Source organism: Homo sapiens, chromosome 17, assembly GCF_000001405.40.
Source record: "Homo sapiens chromosome 17, GRCh38.p14 Primary Assembly".
Taxonomy (NCBI): Eukaryota; Metazoa; Chordata; class Mammalia; order Primates; family Hominidae; genus Homo; species Homo sapiens.
Window position 1 is genome coordinate 75,006,479 of NC_000017.11, and position 17,567 is coordinate 75,024,045.

A 17,567-nucleotide genomic window follows, 5' to 3' on the forward strand; every position below is an offset into this window, starting at 1 on the left:
ATTCCTGGGGGAGCAATTCGGAGAAAATGTCTAAATAGGCTCTTTGAGGTAGGAAGGGGGAGCGATCATGGAAAAAAAAGATTGAGAAATGCTAAGCGAGGGTGGTCAGGGCACCTCTGGAGAGGTGATGATGAAGCTGAAACCAGAAGGCTGAGGAGGAACCAACGGGAAGATAAGTGGAGGCCCAGGGAGCAGCTGGGGCAGTGGGGGGTGGCCAGAACAGAGGGTGGAGGCCAGGCTCCTAAGAGCCCGGAAGGTTCAGGGGAGCTCGGGCCTCCTAAGTGCAATGAGACGCCACGGCAGGAAGTCCAGGGCCAGACTGATGCCCTGAAGGACCATGAGGGATGGGGAAGTTGACCTGCCCTTGGTGAGCCACCCATTGATGACACAGGACAGTCACAGGAATGACAAGAGGGCCATCTCCTGGTGTTTTTCAAGCTGATAAACCCCATATCTCTCTTCCATATACATGAAAAACCTCACCACTCCCATTCTTCCTCAGATATCTGTCTCCTCCCCATGTTATACAGAGGACGGTACATAGAGGGGTTCATCTTCTGGAGGGGTCCCCATCACCAAGATTACACCAGCCTCCCTCTTGTTCTGGAAGTGCCGTCAATCCGTTGGGTTTTCTGTTTTCCTCAATGCAAAATGATAGGCCGGGCGAGGTGGCTCATGCCTGTAATCCCAGCACTTTGGGGGGCTGAGGCAGGCAGATCATGTGACATCAAGAGTTCGAGACCAGCCTGGCCAACATGGTAAAACCCTGTCTCTACTAAAAATACAAAAATCCTAGCTACTTAGGAGGTTGAGGTGGGAGGATCACTTGAACCGGGAAGAAGAGGTTGCAGTGAGCCGAGATCGCACCACTGCCCTCCAACCTGGGTGACAGAGCAAGACTCCGTCAAAAAAAAAAAAAAAGCAAAATGATAGCGGTTTTTCAAACTTCCCATGCTCCACTCAGCCCTCTCCAGATTTAGTAATGTCCATCCTGAACTTAAGAATTGCTGTCCAAGAAAAAATTAGCCAGGCATGGCGGTGGCCGCCTTTAGTCCCAGCTACTCGGGAGGCTGAGGCAGGAGAATGGTGTGAACCTGGGAGGCGGAGCTTGCAGTGAGCTTAGATCGCGCCACTGCACTCCAGCCTGGGCGACAGAGTGAGACTCCGTCTCAAAAAAGAATTGCTGTCCAAGCTCAGATACTGGAAGCCTAGAAACAGGACTGTGGATCCTGATCAAAGGGGGCACCTCTAGGGTATCTTCCTTCGCCTCACACTGCCAACGCTACCCACCCCTTCTCGCACCAGCAGCCTGGGTGGACCTTTCCGATGGGGGACTTCCAAAACCAGAGAGGAAAATGCTCCTGAATCTTTGAGGGGTTTCTTGCTAGCTTCACTCTCTCGTCTCCAGACAAAAAAAGGCAGCTCTGTGGACTCCAGTTCCACCAGCCCACACAACCTGAGTCTGTGGAAAAGCTTCCAAAGTCTTCTAAGGGAGGTAGACTCAGGGGCCAGCTGGAACTGGGGGGAAATGCAGGCTTCTCCCCAAAACTCCTTCCCCAAATGTCCTGATGGGGAACAACTTCCCTTGAACTCAGGAGGGGAGGAAAGTGTGGTGTGGGGCTGGGCATGGTGGCTCATGCCTGTAATCCCAGCAATTTGGGAGGCGGAGGCAGGAGGATCACTTGAGCCCAGGAGTTGGAGACCAGCCTGGCCAACATGGCAAAACCCCATCTCTACTAAAAACACAAAAATTAGCCAGGCATGATGGTGTGTACCTGTAATCCCAGCTACTCCGGAGGCTGAGGTACAAGAGTTGCTTGAACTCAGGAGGCTGAGGTTACAGTGAGCCTAGACCACACCACTGCACTCCAGCCTGGCGACAGAGTGAGACTCAGTCTCAAAAAAAAAAAAAAAAAAGTGTGGTGTGGCAAGCCCAAGGCTGGGCCCCAAACTGCTGTGCTTAGTACATCAACTGAACAGCATGGGGCTTTTACAAGGGCAGCGTGCAAGTGGCTGTTGGGTTTTCCCATCCTGTTGTCACCTGTCGTCACCAGGATGGGGAGCAGGTGGTGGTGACCACATGGAGCAGTCACACCTGAGAGACGAAGGAAGCCGTGGCGTGAATCCAGCCACCCTTTTCTCCCTCAGCCTTTTTTTTTTTTTTTTTAGACAGGGTCTTGCTCTGTTGCCCAGGTTGGAGTGCAGTGGCACAACTGTAGCTTACTCGGCCTCCAGCTCCTGGGCTAAAGTGATCCTCTCTCTTCAGCCTCTCCAGTAGCTGGGACTATGCTGGCTAATTTTTTTTTTTTTAATTTTTTGTAGGGACCAGGTCTTGCTATATTGTCCAGGCTGGTCTTGAACTCCTGGGCTCAAATGATCCTCCCACATTGGCCTCCCAAAGTGCCGGGATTACAGGAGTAAGCCACCATGCCTGGCCTCCCTCAGCTTTCTAAACCGCCCTCTGGATGCATTTCTTTCCCTTCTTCCCTCCTTTCTTTCCCTTCTTCCCTCCTGATCACCACTTTGTCCTTGCTCTGTGGACAGATACTCCCTGCTGCAGGGAGCTCCTCCCCGCCCCCCGGCCCCTGCCCCATTCTCTCCTCCCCTGAACTGGCACCCTTCTCCTCTCCCAGGGCCAAACCCACCACCCCACTTAGGGAGGGCAGCTAGCCAAACAGACCTGCCTCTGCCCTCCCTGGGGATCCTGAGCTGAGAGCTGGGGGGTGGCCTCAGTTTTAGGGGACCAGGCAGATAAGGGGTAGCAATGAAGGAAGTACTTTCCAGGGAGAGGTGGGCAGCTCTGTGCTGCCCATCCCCTCAGGGAAGAAGGAAAGAGGGTTGGAATACAGCTCGTCAGACTGGATTTCCCACTCCAGGGCTACAGAGGAAAAAAGACAACAGTAATCAGGTGTCTGAAAGAAAAGTGTCCCTTAAGGAACCTGCATGCACATAGCATCCCTTAGCAGCAGCTAATTTTTGTTGCCTGCTGACTTCATGCCAAGCACTGTGTTAAGTGTTTTATATGTGTTTACTATCCTCAGGAACTTTATGAGATGACTATAAAATCTCCATTTTACTGATGAGGATACAAAAACTTAGAGGTCAGGTTAGTAATTCAAGGTCACATAGAAATATTCAAACTCGGCTGGGCATAGTGGCTCATGCTTATTATCCCAGCACTTTGGGAGGCCAAGGTAAGTGGATTGCTTGAGCCCAGGAGTTCAAGACCAGCCTGGGCTGGTAGAGACAAGAAACCTTGTCTCTACAAAAATACACAAATTATCCAGCACATGCCAGTAATCCCAGCTACTTGGGAGGCTGAGGTGGGAGGATAGCTTGAGCCGGGGAGGCCGAGGTTGCAGTGAGCCGTGATCATACCAGCACTCCAGCCTGAGTGACAGAGCGAGACCTTGTCTCAAAAAATAATAATAATACAATTTTAAAATGAAGTCATAGTCACAGTTACCAGCAGTTAGGACATGGACACATTTTTCTATTTTTTTAATAAAAAAATAAATATTTAAACTTAGTCCTGACCAATCCACCATGCCTCATTGCACATTCCCTATCTACACATAATGATGAGTTTTGTTTTGTTTTGTTTTGTTTTGTTTTTTGACGGAGTCCTGCTCTGTCACCCAGGCTGGAGTGCAGTGGCACAATCTCAGCTCACTGCAACCTCCACCTCCTGGGTTCAAGCGATTCTCCAGCCTCAATCTCCCGAGTAGCTGGGATTACAGGTGCATGCCACCATGCCCAGCTAATTTTTGCATTTTTTTAGTAGAGATGAGGTTTTGCCATGTTAGCCAGGCTGATCTTGAACCCCTGACCTCAGGTGATCCACCCACCCTGGCCTCCCAGAGTGCTGAGATTACAGGTGAGAGCCACCACACCTGGTCAATGATGAGTTTTAAGAGGCCATCTGGTGGGGCATGGTGGCTCATGCCTGTAATCCCAGCACTTTGGGAGGCCGAGTGAGCCAGGCGGATCACGAGATCAGGAGTTCGAGACCAGCCGGGCCAGCATGGTGAAACCCCGTCTCTACTAAAAATACAAAAATTAGTCGGGCATGGTGGTGCACGCCTGTAGTCCCAGCTACTCGGGAGGCTGAAGCAGGAGAATTACTTGAACCCAGGAGGCAGAGGTTGCAGTGAGCTGAAATCGTGCCATTGCACTCCAGCCTCGGCAACAGAGCGAGAGTCAATCTCAAAAAAAAAAAAAAAAAGGAGGTCTTCTGACCCAGGGCGGTACAGAGAAGAAGAAAGGGGTCCTATGTAGGTCCTATGTAGGACCCCCTACATAGGAATAGTACCCCAACTCATAGGCCCTATAGAAAGGCTTGTGTCTGCAAGCTCCTCAGCTGCCAGAAATGACCTCTTTCCTCTCTTCTCCCATGAATGTCCCCTCCCTGAAGCACCATCTCGGCCTATAGAAAACCAAGGAGGAGAAAGGGAAGACTGGCCTCAGCCTTTAGTGCCCATCTTTTTGGGAGAACAGGTGGCCCCTTTCTGGCCTTTCTCCCAGGGCCCCCATTCTGGATAGTTCACGGCAGCAGCAGGTAAGAGGAGCTTGCCAGCTGCTCCTCTCTCCACCCCAGGGCGGCTTGCCTCATTCTCTCCTCTACCCACCTCCTCTCCCAGAATCCAGGCCACCAGATGGCCCAAGCAGGCTGTGTTTATTTGGGGCCATGGAAACCTGCAGCTTCCTTTTCCTATTGCCTTGGGTCAGGTGCAGAGCTGGAGCCCAGCCTCAGAGCAATGATGTCATGGAAAGGTTCTGACTTTATTACTCATAACCCCTTAGCCCCCGACCTGAGTGAATGCCTGGTTTTGCTCCTCTGAGCAGCTTATTCCAGTTGCCATAGAGATGCGTCTATTCCCTTTGAGGTCTTGGGACTAAGTCAAACAGCGCGGGACCCAGGAGACTCTCCTCCCAACCCGAGATAGAGCCCGAGATATGTCAATTGTCACCCCTTTCTAGTCTGAGCTTATAAAGCCAGTGCTTAGAAAGTGGTTTATTCCTTCTTAAAGATTTGCTGTAGCCATAATGCGGAGATGGTAAAAGCTTGGTGTGATGACAATCTCCTGTTTCAATCAGCCAGCATCCCCGGGGGCACATTTTTCTAGATAATTATGCTTGTTCCTAAAAATAGAACTCTTCATTAAGAAACAATCGCTAGCATTACTAATAATTATGAACATTTATTTAGCTTTGTTTCCATTTACCACATAGCCTCTCAACACAGTAACTTAACTAAGGTTTAGCTGTTTTCAAACACTGCTTGCTCTACTGTGAACCTTTTTCAGAATTGGAACTTGTCTGTAGTTCATCCCTTACCAGCGCTATGAAAGGGTTCTAGTTAGCTGGCAGTTCTCTGAATTCTCTCCCTACCTCCCGAGGGACCCCCTCTCTCCTGGCTGGAAGAAAGCATCATCTTGCTCCATAAAGCTGAAGGGCGGGGGACGATGTTCCAGGTTTTGCAAACATTTCTTTCGGTGGCCTGCCTTCTCCTCCCATCTGGTATTTGTCCTGCAGAGCTGCTGGGTATAAGCCAGTACACACACGTGCTCAGCGGGGAATTTGCTCATAGGCTGCCTTGTAAAAAGAGCCTGGCGTTCCTAAAACTCAGCTCTACCAGAACCCAACTTTCAAAAGTACATTCCTACAGAATTCATTTTATCAGTACTCATGGGGTGCCCACGATGTGCCATGTTCTGGGTGCTGGGGATATACCAGTGAGCCGGTGCCCTCCTGGAGCTCACATTCCGGCTAGGAGACAGCAATTAGACAATTAGGACTGAGTGATTTTTGTAAAGGAAGAGAAAAAAGATAAATTAGAGCAGAGTAAAGGGGCTGGGAAGCGCGGGGCGGGAGATGCCCCAGGCTGGCCGGGCAGGCCTCGCTGCTGTTTGAATTGGGCAGTGGGCGGTCCAGGCGGAGGGCACGGACTCTGAAAGGAGAGAAGTGGTGTTTCTGGGGGCCACAAGATCGGGGCACTCTTCCGGTAGCAGCTCGCTCTCTGGCCACCGTCTTCCCCAGCCAACCAGGCCTCCCGGAGGCGGCCGGCCAGAAAGCATCGGCGGGACCCCAGTTTGCCGCCTCCCCTCGGCGGGACCTAGAAACTGCGCGGAACCAAAGCTCGAGGGCGGCTCGAGTTTGCGGACCGCGGGGAGGAAGCGCCCGCCGGAAGCAGTCGCAAGACCTGAGCATGGCGGCCACCAGGTGCCTGCGCTGGGGCCTGAGCCGAGCCGGAGTCTGGCTGCTCCCACCGCCCGCACGGTGCCCACGCCGGGCGCTGCACAAGCAGAAAGACGGCACTGAGTTCAAGAGCATCTACAGCCTGGACAAGCTCTACCCCGAATCTCAGGGCTCGGACACCGCCTGGAGGGTCCCGGTGAGCCGGGAAGGACTGGACGGAAGGGGCGTTTTGTCAGGCTGCTGGGTGACGTTAGGAACCCCAGGCCCATTGGCCGGATGTGGAGCTACGTCGGGGGGCTACGTGATGGTCGCCGCGGGAGGGGGCTGGCTGTCTGCGCTAACCTGGCCGGGAGTGGGGTGCTCGCTGTAGCGCGAGATGTGCAGGAGCCCGGAAGGCCGGCTGGGTATGCTTCTTTCAAGGCTGCCAGCTTTTCTACGTTCGTGTCCTTGGCCCTCAAGACCAAATTCCAGTCCCAAGGGGAAATACGGGCATTCTGGCCCTCCAAGGCGGACAATAAAGGCAAGAGGCTGCCAAGTTGTTTGCTACCCTTTGGGACGTTACAGTGTCCATTGTCTCTAGTAACCCCAGGACGCGCGAATAAAACAGCTTCTCTGTCGTTCCTTCAGGATGCATTTATTTAGCCAGCTGTGTGCAGGCATTGAATCAAGCCCCGGAGCAAGAGAGATAAGACCCACCCAAACCCATTGAGCTTCCACTTACAGGACTGGAAAAGAATATCCATTCATTTGTTCATTAATTCACTCACTCACTCAACAAAAGCTGTGCTAGGCTAGGGGATGGAGTAGCAAACAAAATTGAAATTCTAAAGCTTGTGGAGCTTATGTTCTAGTGGAGGGAGACAAGCAGTAAGTAAATGACTAATATAGAATGTGTGAGGTAGTACTTTGCAGAAAATAAAGCCAAGAAGGAAGAAGTAGTGCCAGAGGTAGGAAGTAGGGTTGCAATTTTAAGTAGGATTGTCTAGGAACGCTGTCAATGAGGTGGCATTTGAATAACGACCTGGAAGAAGCCAGACAGCAAGTCATGAGAATAGGGGGCGGATGAGCATCCTAGGCAGAGGGAAGAGAAAGTGCAATAACCTGAAGGCAGTAGCAATCCCCAGGTGTGGCTCAGCAGGGGTCAGGAGACAAAGCCAAAGAGAGGGATGGCTGGGGAAAGGCCTGTTACTAGGACTTAATGGCCTCCAGCCTTTCCTCTGAACGCAAGGGAGACCTATTGGAGAGCTTGAAGCAGAATGGAATTATCTTAGTTTTACAAGGATCACTCAGAGAGCCTTACAGAGAACAGATAGAGGATGCCAAGATCAGGGAGACAAGTAAGGAGATTGCAATGTAGGGCAAGAGATGATAAGCAGGGTGGAAGCAGTAGGAGTCATGAGAATTGGTCAGATCCTAGACGTATTTTGGAAAGAAAGCCTGCAAGATTTGCTAATTGATTGGATGTGAGAAGTGAGAATAAAAGAGGAATTGAAGTCTGGGGCCTTTTTTTTTTTTTTTTTTTTTTTTGAGACGGAGTCTCACTCTGTCGCCCAGGCTGGAGTGCAGTGATGCAATCTCTGTTCACTGCAAGCTCCGCCTCCCGGGTTCACGCCATTCTCCTGCCTCAGTCTCCTGAGTAGCTGGGACTACAGGCGCCCACCACTACAACCGGCTAATTTTTTTTTTTTTTTTTTTTAGTAGAGAGGGGGTTTCACCGTATTAGCCAGGTTGGTCTTGATCACGGGCGTGAGCCACCGCGCCAGGCTTTTTTTTTTTTTTTTTTTTGAGACAGGGTCTTACTCTGTCATCCAGGCTGGAGTGCAGTGGCGTGATCTCAGCCCACTGCAACCTCCGCCTCCTGGGTTCAAGTGATTCTTGTGCCTCAGCCTCCCGAGTAGCTGGGATTACAGGCATGCACCACCATGCCCGACTCATATTTTTGCATTTTTAGTAGAGACAGGGTTTTCACCATGTTGGCCAGGCTAGTCTCAAACTCCTGACCTCAAATGATCTGCTCGCCTCAGCCTCCCAAAGTGCTGGGATTACAGGCGTGAGCCACCATGCCCAGCCAAGTCTGGGGCCTTGAGCAGTGAAAGGATTGAGTTGCTATTAACTGAGATGAGAGAGTGGCAATAGCATTCATTTGTTCATTCATTCAATAAAATGTTTATTGTATATCTACTGTGTCTACTACTACTTGAGTCTAGCATATACAGCCATGATAAACAAAATACAGGATCTCTCTCCTTCATGGAGCTTAATTCTAATGGAAGGAGCAGACAGTAAACAAATAGGGAAAATATCAGGTAGTGAGAAGTAGTGTAATGAATAGGCCAGGGTGCTGCAACAAAGTGCTGAGGCTACCTCAGATTATTAGTAAGGGAAGTCCTCTGAGGCGGCTTAAGGTTTGGGTCCATTAGACATCTGAGAAGAGACGTTGAGTAGCAGTTGGGTATATGGGTGTGGAGTTGAGAAGAAAGGTTTGAGTTTGAGCCAGAAAGTTGGGTGTCAAAAACAGGCTATTTTCTGGCCAGGCGCAGTGGCTCATGCCTATAATCCCAGCACTTTGAGAGGCCAAGGGTAGATCACTTGAGGTCAGGAGTTCGAGACCAGCCTGGCCAACATGGCAAAACCCCGTCTCTACTAAAAATACAAAAATTAGTCGGGCGTGGTGGCACACGCCTGTAGTCCCAGCTACTCAGGAGGCTGAGGCAGGAGAATCGCTTGAACCCAGGAGGCAGAGGTTGCAGTGAGCCGAGATTGCACCACTGCACTCCAACCTGGGCGACAACCTTAAGACTCCATCTCAAAACAAAAACGAAAAACTGGCTATTTTCATCAGCATAGATGAAGTATTCTAGAGAAAGAAAGAGGAGAGAGAGAGAAGTATTTCAAGGGCATGTCAGTGTTTAAAAGTTGCTAAGAGCTAGCAAAGGAGAGTGAGAAAGAGTCCTAGGAAGGTAAGAGGAAAATTTCAGAAGGAACAGAAGGAACATGCTTCAGGAAGGAGGGTGTGGCCCATGATCTTCAGTGCTGCAGACAGGTGGAGTAGGATAAGGGTTTCATCCCCAAATAATTCTTTTTCTTTTTCTTTTTTCTTTTTTTCTGAGACAAAGTCTCGTTAGCTGTCACCCAGGCTGGAGTGCAGTGTCCCAGGCAGGAGTGCAGTGTCCTGATCTCAGCTCACTGCAACCTCCATCTCCTGGGTTCAAGCAATCCTGCCTCAGCCTCCCCCAGTAGCTAGGATTACAGGTGTGTGCCACCATGCCTAGCTAATTTTGTATTTTTAGTAGAGGGGAGGTTTCACCATGTTGTCCAGGCTGGTCTCCAACTCCTGACTTGAAGTGATCCACCCGTCTCGGCCTCCCAAAGTGCTGGGATTACGGCGTGAGCCACTGCACCCGGCCAACTCCCAAATAATTCTAAGATAAAAGAAATGAAGACAGGCTGGGCGTGGTGGCTCACGCCTGTAATCTTAGCACTTTGGGAGGCCAAGGCGGGCAGCTCTCTTGAGGTCAGGAGCTCGAAACCAGTCTGGCCAACATGGTGAAACCCCATCTCTACTAAAAATACAAAAAAAAAAAACAACAATAGCTAGGCATGGTGGCATGCGCCTGTAATCCCAGCTACTCAGGAGGCTGAGGCAGGAGAATCACTTGAACCCAAGAGGCGGAGGTTGCAGTGAGCTGAGATCGCACTATTGTACTCCAGCCTGGGCTACAGAGCGAGACTCCATCTCAAAAAAAAAAGAAATGAAGGCAGTCGGGAGTGCACCTGAGGATACTGATGCTTTGAGCCTGGAGGGCCAGAAAAGCCTCGGAGTGGGTGGCGTTTGCACTGGGCCTTGTGGATACAAAGATTTAAGGCTGAAGGGCGTTGCTGCTTGAGGAACAGCAAGAGAGAGAGAGACATGGAGGTGAGAAGTCCTGGAGTGAGTAGTTAGTTTGACAGAAACCCTCAGGGTGCAATTATAGTCACTGTCCAAGGTGGACTGCCTTGTGTGGGAGTCTCCTGTGGCCCCGGAAAGAACAGGGTGGCCCACCAGGCTTGTTGCTCCAGGTTGACAGAGGGTGTTGCTTTTGGAGGTTCCCTGATGCATGTGCACTGTGGCTCCCCCTCCCGCTGGAGCCAGGCCTCTGATGGTGCCTGACACTAGCTAAGGCTAGGGCAGGGAAGGCTGGAGACATCAGATCCATTTTCGTAGAGGAGTGTTTCTGAGGTGGTACCTCTGGAGTCTGAGGATGCTTTTTCTGTCATCGTGATATCATTTTGCAGGGGACCTGAAAATACTAATGTACAATGTTTGTGTTGTGGCTTTACATCATTTCTTTGTTGCCTTGAACCAGTTAGGAGTCACCCAGCAGGTAATATTTATTTGACACTGTGTACATTACATTACAGAATGGTGCAAAGCAAGCCGACAGTGACATCCCTCTAGGTAAGTAATTTTGTTTTCTTAAAAATCAGTTGGCTGCGTGGTGGCATGTGCCTGTAATCCCAGTTACTTGGGAGGCTGAGGCAGGAGAATCGCTTGAACCCAGGAGGTGGAGGTTGCAGTGGGCCGAGTTTGTGCCATTGCACTCCAGCCTGGGCAACGAGAGCAAAACTCTATCTGGAAAAAATTAAAAATTAAAAAAAAAAAATCATGCCTGTTGGCCGGGCATGGTGTCTCATACCTGTAATCCCAACAATATGGGAGGCCAAGGTGGGTAGATCACTTGAGGCCAGGAGTTTGAGACCAGCATGGCCAACATGGTGAAACCCCATCTCTACTAAAAATACAAAAATTAGGCCAGGCGCAGTGGCTCACGCCTATAATTCCAACATTTTGGGAGGCCAAGGCAGCTGGATCATCCGAGGTCAGGAGTTCAAGACTAGCCTGGCCAACATGGCAAAGCCCCATCTCTACTAAAAATACAAAATTAGCCGGGTGTGGTGGCGAGGGCCTGTAATCCCAGCTACTTGGGAGGCTGAGGCAGAAGAATTGCTTGAACCCGGAAGGCAGAGGTTGCAGTGAGCTGAGATCCTGCCATTGCACTCCAGCCTGGGCAACAGAGTAAGACTCTGTCTCAAAAATAAATAAATAAAAATACAAAAATTAGCCGGGTGTGGTGGTGGGCGCCTGTGATCCCAGCTACTCGGAAGGCTGAGGCACAAGAATCACTTGAGCCTGGGAAGCAGAGGTTGTGGTGAGTTGAGATCGCACCACTGCACTCCAGCCTGGGCGACACAGCGAGACTCTGTCTCAGACGAAAAAAAAAAAATCAGTCATTTCTCTAATCCTTCACACATTCCTTCCAGATCTCTCCAGCCCAATTAAAGTAAAGAGACTATCTCGGGTGTGCAGAAGTAGAATCTTTGCAGCATTATTTAGAATAGCAAATAAATGATGGTGTGGCCAGTCGCATCGTACTGTGCCGTGTGCCACGTGAGTGTAGAGCTCTTGACATTCTCATGACGTGGAGCACTCTTTACAATAGATGAATTGAAAGAGGAAGACACAGGAGAGTTTATAAGCTACCATTTGTTTTTTACATATCTATATCTCTGAAATATCTTTTTTTTTTTTCTTTGAGATGGAGTCTCGCTCTGTCACCCAGGCTGGAGTGCAGTGGCCCGATCTCGGCTCACTGCAAGTTCCGCCTCCCAGGTTCACACCATTCTCCTGCCTCAGCCTCCCGAGTAGCTGGGACTACAGGTTCCCACCACCACGCCCGGCTAATTTTTTGTATTTTTTAGTAGAGACGGGGTTTCACCATGTTAGCCAGGATGGTCTCGATCTCCTGACCTCATGATCTGCACACCTCAGCCTCCCAAAGTGCTGGGATTACAGGTGTGAGCCACCGTGCCCAGCCTGAAATATCTATTTCTGAATATCTGTATCTATATTTATATCCCTATCTGTGTAGAGAGATATCTATATCTGAAAGGAACACCCTGGATACAGTGACTGCCTGGAGGAATAGAGAGATAAGACAAACTTGGTGGCTGAGAGACAAGAGTGAAAGACATTTCCATGTAAATAAACCATTTACATAACTGTAAAATTTTTTACCTGTCAAGCATAAGCAAGGCCTAACAGTTACAGCCTGTAAAGAAACAATGAGCCTTTTTTAGATTCGGAGAGTGTATGACTTCCATAGACAGTGCGAGGAAGAGCAGCCAAAGATGCTGGCTCCCTGTGGCCCTTGCTCAAGATGACTCAAACAGAGGCCAGATGACCACAACCCAAGGGACAGGACACCCTGTGGCTGAGGAGCGAATACCATGCTGCAGTGAAGCAGTTTTGTAGCTTGAAGCTGTGCCCGCCTGTAGTCTCAGCTACTTGAGAGGCTGAGGTGGAAGGATCCCTTGAGCCCGGGATGTTCGCTTCAGCCTGGGATGTTGAGGCTGCAGTGAGCCGTCATTGTGCCACTGGACTCCAGCCTGGGTGCCAGAGTGAGACCCTGTCTCAAAAAAAAAAAAAATGAAGCTGTGCCCTAAGGGGTGCATGTGTGTAGGGGAGGAGGCAGAAAGCCTCCTATCTCATCAGAACTGGAGGCGAAGAGAAGTGTCTTGTGACAGCCTCCTAGGGGGAGACAGGCAGGCAAGTGGGCAGTAGCTCGGTAGTAGCTCCTCACCAGCCTCCCACACTCTCATGGATCCCGAAGCGTTCCATTCCTATGAAGACTTTGGTCAGCTGCAGCTCAAGCTTTGGCCATGTGCAAGGTTGCCAGCAATCACCATGGCAGAACTGTTCCCCTGCAGTGGCACGTGTACTTGTTACCTAGTCAGAAAGTGGATTTAATTTGATTTTTCCAAAGGAGGAAATCCTCTTAAAAGCAGTCCCAAGATGAGTCACTACTGCTCACTGGGACCAGCTCTCTGCCACCGTGGTGCCACAGTTCCTTGCCACCCAAACTTCTTGCAGTTTTTGAAATTTTCCCAATATAATACCTTCCCTACATTCCTCAGACACAACAAGACTGCTTTTCATGCCATGAGGTAATCAGTTTTGTGTGTGTACTTTCTTCTGTTTTACAGATCGCTTGACAATATCTTATTGTCGGAGTAGTGGTCCTGGGGGGCAGAATGTGAACAAAGGTACGGGGTGCCTTGTTGCTTTCTTTTGCTTTAAAATGTAGCTGGGAGATGGGCTTGAGGAGCTCTGTGTTTGTGTTCATATGGAATAAAGGGATTTTTCAGCAGAAGCTTTAATACTGCCAGCTTATAATAATCCTCTTTATTCTTTTGAATGTGGTCTGATTCTCAGACATTCAGCTGTGGGTTGCTAGGACTAGGATCGGCTTGTGAGTCTAAACAAAGAGAAATCACAGTTGTGAGGTGGCAGCCAGCTCCAAGAACAGGTTTCTTTCATTCTGGTGCAACCCATTCCCTCCATTTTTTTTTTTTTTTTTTTTGAACCCAGTAAAACTGTAAGAGAAGGACTGGGTGCTTAGTTACTGGAAGTCTATTTTTGCCCAAAAGTGCCTCACTGTCTTTGCGGGCTTGTTCATAGCCAACTTGGACATAGGCTACAATGTACATGGTTAGGTGTCTGGCCTCCCTTTATTTCAGAATGGTCACTGGTCACCCAGGGGTTGATCCTTCCTGGAAGTCTCAGGCACCCATGCTCCCTTCTCCCTTTCCTCCACAGTGAATTCCAAGGCAGAAGTCAGGTTCCATTTGGCAACTGCCGAGTGGATCGCGGAGCCCGTGCGGCAGAAGATAGCCATCACGGTAACCACCATCCCTTTCTTTCCCTAGAAATCCCTCAGTGGCTTTTAAACCTTTACTCTGTAGGACTCCAGTTTTTCATTTGTTCTCTGCAGCATAAAAACAAGATCAACAGGTTAGGAGAGTTGATCCTCACCTCTGAGAGCAGCCGCTATCAGTTCCGGAATCTGGCAGATTGCCTGCAGAAAATTCGAGACATGATCACTGAGGCCAGCCAGACACCGAAGGAGCCAACAAAAGAAGATGTTAAACTTCATAGAATCAGGTACCAGGAAATGCCCTAAGATGCTATAAACTGATTTGTGTGGACAAGAGTCTACACAGGTAAGGAAGGGGCAGGGGAGAGTCCAAGGCCGGCCTTGGGAGAAACTCTAGGAAGAGGAGAGGATGCTGACCTGGGACCGAGGCCTGCGGGCTAGTGCCTGCTGGTGTAACTGCTCGGCTTCCCGTTGAGCTCCCAACTCCTCTCACCACTTTGAAAAGCACTGATTGGGCATCTGGGGCTAATTGCAGTCTTTTTGTTTTCAGGATAGAAAACATGAATCGGGAAAGGCTGAGACAAAAGAGAATTCATTCTGCTGTAAAGACAAGCAGGAGGGTCGACATGGACTGAAATCACCCTCTGCAGCTGGGAGGGCTCTTCTGGGCGTCCGGGCAGCTGCAGCTGAGAGGACTTTCACACCATAAGGAGATTTCTGTTTTTCTTTTTGGCTGTTAATGCTTGTCTATAACATTGGAGCCATCACAAGAATGTTCATTTGGAATGAAGGCTGCAGGCACTGGTTGCAGACGTCTTTATAGGCAGTCACCATGTTGTCAAACCTTAATAATGCACCTCATGTATTAGTCACAATAAAAATCAGAACTCATTAGGCTTCCCTTCTCATTCAGAATGCTTCAGAAAACAATTCCTACCTTTTCTCTCAGTTAAATCAGCCGCACAGTTATCGACACAGCACTGGGGAACAGGAAAGGGTTCTGGTGTCTGCTGTGAAAGAACACACAGGCCAGGCGTGGTGGCTCACGCCTGTAATCCAAACACTTTGGAAGCCAAGGCAGGAGGATCACACGAGGTCAGGAGGTCAAAACCAGCCTGAGCAACATAGCAAGATCTCATCTCTACAAGAACTACAAAAATTAGCCAGGTGTGGTGATACATGTCCATAGTCCCAGCAACTTGGGAGGCTGAGGCAGGAGGATCACTTGAGCCCCCCAGGAGTTCAAGGTTGCAGTGAACCATAATTGCACCACTGCAGCCTGAGTGACAGAGCAAGACCGTGTCTCAAAAAAAAAAAAAAACCACCGGGCGTGGTGGCTCACACCTGTAATCCCAGCACTTTGGGAGGCTGAGGTGACCAGCCTGGCCAACGTGGTGAAACCCTATCTCTACTAAAATAGGTGGTGGGCACCTGTAATCCCAGCTACTCGGGCCGAGGCAGGAGAATTGCTTGAACCCAGGAGGGTGACGTTGCAGTAAGCCAAAATCACACCACTGCACTCCAGCCTGGGCAACAGAGCCAGACTCCGTCTCAAAAACAAAACAAAAAGAAACTACACACACAACCAGGTAGGAGGGCTGAGACAGGTAAGTGGGCATTTGAGCCGGGCTATGGAAAAGGCATGGGACTTTCATCAGTAGACGGGAGGCGGACATGCCATTTGAAGGGAACAATGAACACAAGAGACAAAAGAGGCTGAGGTGGAGGGGGTGACAAAGAAGGCAAAGGCACTGAATGGTGGATTCGTGCAGGGTGATCCACCATTGCAGCGGGAGGTGAACCCAGAGAGAGACCGGCTTGATGTGGAGAGCCTTGAATTCAAGTTAAGGAGTTTAGGTTCTTTTATTTTTGAGATGGAGTCTCACTCTGCCATCCAGGCTGGAGTGCAATAGCGTGATCTTGGCTCACTGCAACCTCCTTCGCCCAGGTTAAAGCGATTCTCCTGCCTCAGCTTCCCCAGTAGCTGGGGTTACAGGTGCATGCCACCATGCACAGCTAATTTTTGTATTTTTGTAGAGATGGGGTTTCACCATGTTGGCTGGGCTGCTCTTGAACTCCTGACCTCAGGTGATCCGCCCACTTCGGCCTCCCAAAGTGCTGGTATCACAGGCGTGAGCCACTGCACCCGGCAAAGGTTTTAAGAGATGTGGGTAACAGAAAGCTGTTGGGAGAAAAGCTGAGCGTTGGGAGAAAAGCTGAGTGTTGGGAGAGAAGCTGAGGCAGGGCTTGCATGTCTGCTAGACTTGCTGGCTCCTTGCTTCTAGCACTCCCATTCTCTCAAGCAGCCGTATGTTTCTCCTTCACTTGATACACTTTCTTTTCAACCCCCACATCCTCACCACCTGTTTCTTTGAGCACCAATAAATACCGTGGGCTCCCAGAGCTGGGGGTCTTCACAGCCTCAACACTGGCGATGGCTTCCTGGTGCTACTTTCTCTCTCAAACTGTCTTTTTCTAATTCCTTTGACTCCGCCGGACTTTGTTGCCCCCATGACCTGGTGTTGGGTCTGATCACCTCAACATTCCTGGCTGCCCAACGTGGGGTGACAAAGACCCTGGTGAAGGAACGCTAGAGCGTGTGAAAGCGGAGAACACATCGTCAAAGGACACCCAAAGGCGTCTAAAAGAAGCTCGGCAGGAAAGCTGAGCGCTCGGAAGAACCAGGGTAACAATGGGATAAAGTGAAAGACATTTTGCTTATTTAAATTTATTTTATTATTTTTTTTTTTTTGAGAGGAGTCTTGCTCTGTCGCCCAGGCTGGAGTGCAGCGGCGCGATCTCGGCTCACTGCAAGCTCTGCCTCCTGGGTTCAGGCCATTCTCCTGCCTCAGCCTCCCGAGTAGCTGGGACTACAGGCACCCGCCACCGCGCCCGGCTAATTTTTTGTATTTTTTTTTTTTAGTAGAGACGAGGTTTCACCGTGTTAGCCAGGACGGTCTCGATCTCCTGACCTCGTGATCCGCCCGCCTCGGCCTCCCAAAGTGCTGGGATTACAGGTGTGAGCCACCGCGCCCGGCCTTATTTAAATTTCTTAAGGCATTTATTACGAAGAGGGGGAGTGAAAGTACTCAGAATTTGTTGGCATTTATTATGAAGAGGGGGAGTGAAAGTTAGTACTCAGAATTTGTTATCACTCTTTAGTACAGTAAAGCAGTTTTGCCCATGGCTTCCGGAACAAGCGACTATGGAGTTGGATGAATGGGAGAGAATCGGCAGAGATTTTTAAAAGGCGTATAAAGAGGGAGCAGATATTCCAGTTTCTATTTGGTCATGTGGGCGCTAATAAAGGCAGCTCTTGAGCCATTTCAAACAGATGATGAGGCAGATTGAGATGAGGAAGAGGAGGATGAGTGTAAAAAACTAACTTCAGATTCTGAGTGTGAGGAACAGCTACCGGAGGAGATTAAAGAAAGGAAAACTAAAAAAAGTATGTTTTACTAGCCCGTCGGCGCCCCCTGCTAAATTAAGTGAATGGCCACCTCCTCTCTCTCCTCTTAATGGGTGAGAAGATGAATTAGCTGAAAAACTTACTACTCCTATAGTTGCAATATTAAAACCTGGAGCAATTGGTGATGCTATAGAAAATTCTATTCATAAAGCTAGAGCCGAGGGAGACCTTGAAGCATGGCAATTTCCTGTTACTATCATCCAGCA

At 49.7% G+C, this 17,567-nt stretch overlaps 1 protein-coding gene across 3 annotated transcripts, besides 8 other annotated features; it reads left to right on the forward strand.

Annotated features, from left to right (window-relative positions):
* Positions 5,820-5,969: an enhancer, noted in NCBI's record as "active region_12725". NCBI's record gives its function as "activates an Ori minimal core promoter by ATAC-STARR-seq in GM12878 lymphoblastoid cells {active_cell/tissue: GM12878}" and the evidence as "EXISTENCE:reporter gene assay evidence [ECO:0000049][PMID:35858748]".
* Positions 5,820-6,519: a biological region, named in NCBI's record as "H3K27ac hESC enhancer GRCh37_chr17:73008409-73009092".
* Positions 5,836-6,519: an enhancer, noted in NCBI's record as "H3K27ac hESC enhancer chr17:73008409-73009092 (GRCh37/hg19 assembly coordinates)". NCBI's record gives its function as "activates a minimal SCP1, AML or CMV promoter by ChIP-STARR-seq in naive H9 embryonic stem cells {active_cell/tissue: H9 hESC(naive)}" and the evidence as "EXISTENCE:reporter gene assay evidence [ECO:0000049][PMID:30033119]".
* Positions 5,985-6,167: a silencer, noted in NCBI's record as "fragment chr17:73008558-73008740 (GRCh37/hg19 assembly coordinates)". NCBI's record gives its function as "represses an EF-1alpha promoter that drives an FKBP-Casp9 reporter gene in an ReSE screen in phorbol 12-myristate 13-acetate-treated (for megakaryocytic differentiation) K562 erythroleukemia cells {active_cell/tissue: K562(+PMA)}" and the evidence as "EXISTENCE:reporter gene assay evidence [ECO:0000049][PMID:32094911]".
* Positions 6,060-6,369: an enhancer, noted in NCBI's record as "active region_12726". NCBI's record gives its function as "activates an Ori minimal core promoter by ATAC-STARR-seq in GM12878 lymphoblastoid cells {active_cell/tissue: GM12878}" and the evidence as "EXISTENCE:reporter gene assay evidence [ECO:0000049][PMID:35858748]".
* On the forward strand, positions 6,192-14,783 carry MRPL58 (mitochondrial ribosomal protein L58). Of its 3 annotated transcripts, none has more exons than NM_001545.3 (6): positions 6,192-6,394; positions 10,600-10,636; positions 13,222-13,281; positions 13,835-13,917; positions 14,010-14,179; positions 14,443-14,783. In NM_001545.3, exons 1-6 carry the CDS (start codon positions 6,209-6,211, stop codon positions 14,525-14,527), a joined length of 621 nt encoding a protein of 206 aa, NP_001536.1. In that variant the 5' UTR covers positions 6,192-6,208; the 3' UTR covers positions 14,528-14,783. The 3 variants fall into 3 exon arrangements, with proteins under 3 accessions (NP_001536.1, NP_001290194.1, XP_016880063.1); NM_001303265.2 differs by having other exon boundaries at positions 14,448-14,783; XM_017024574.2 differs by lacking the exon at positions 6,192-6,394 and adding an exon at positions 9,922-10,114.
* Positions 6,420-6,499: an enhancer, noted in NCBI's record as "active region_12727". NCBI's record gives its function as "activates an Ori minimal core promoter by ATAC-STARR-seq in GM12878 lymphoblastoid cells {active_cell/tissue: GM12878}" and the evidence as "EXISTENCE:reporter gene assay evidence [ECO:0000049][PMID:35858748]".
* Positions 6,520-7,202: an enhancer, noted in NCBI's record as "H3K27ac hESC enhancer chr17:73009093-73009775 (GRCh37/hg19 assembly coordinates)". NCBI's record gives its function as "activates a minimal SCP1, AML or CMV promoter by ChIP-STARR-seq in naive H9 embryonic stem cells {active_cell/tissue: H9 hESC(naive)}" and the evidence as "EXISTENCE:reporter gene assay evidence [ECO:0000049][PMID:30033119]".
* Positions 13,350-14,549: an enhancer, noted in NCBI's record as "CDK7 strongly-dependent group 2 enhancer chr17:73015923-73017122 (GRCh37/hg19 assembly coordinates)". NCBI's record gives its function as "activates an origin of replication core promoter dependent on BRD2, BRD4, P300/CBP, MED14 and CDK7 cofactors, with strong dependence on CDK7, by STARR-seq in HCT116 cells {active_cell/tissue: HCT116}" and the evidence as "EXISTENCE:reporter gene assay evidence [ECO:0000049][PMID:35650434]".
* Positions 14,784-17,567: the final 2,784 nt, after the last annotated feature.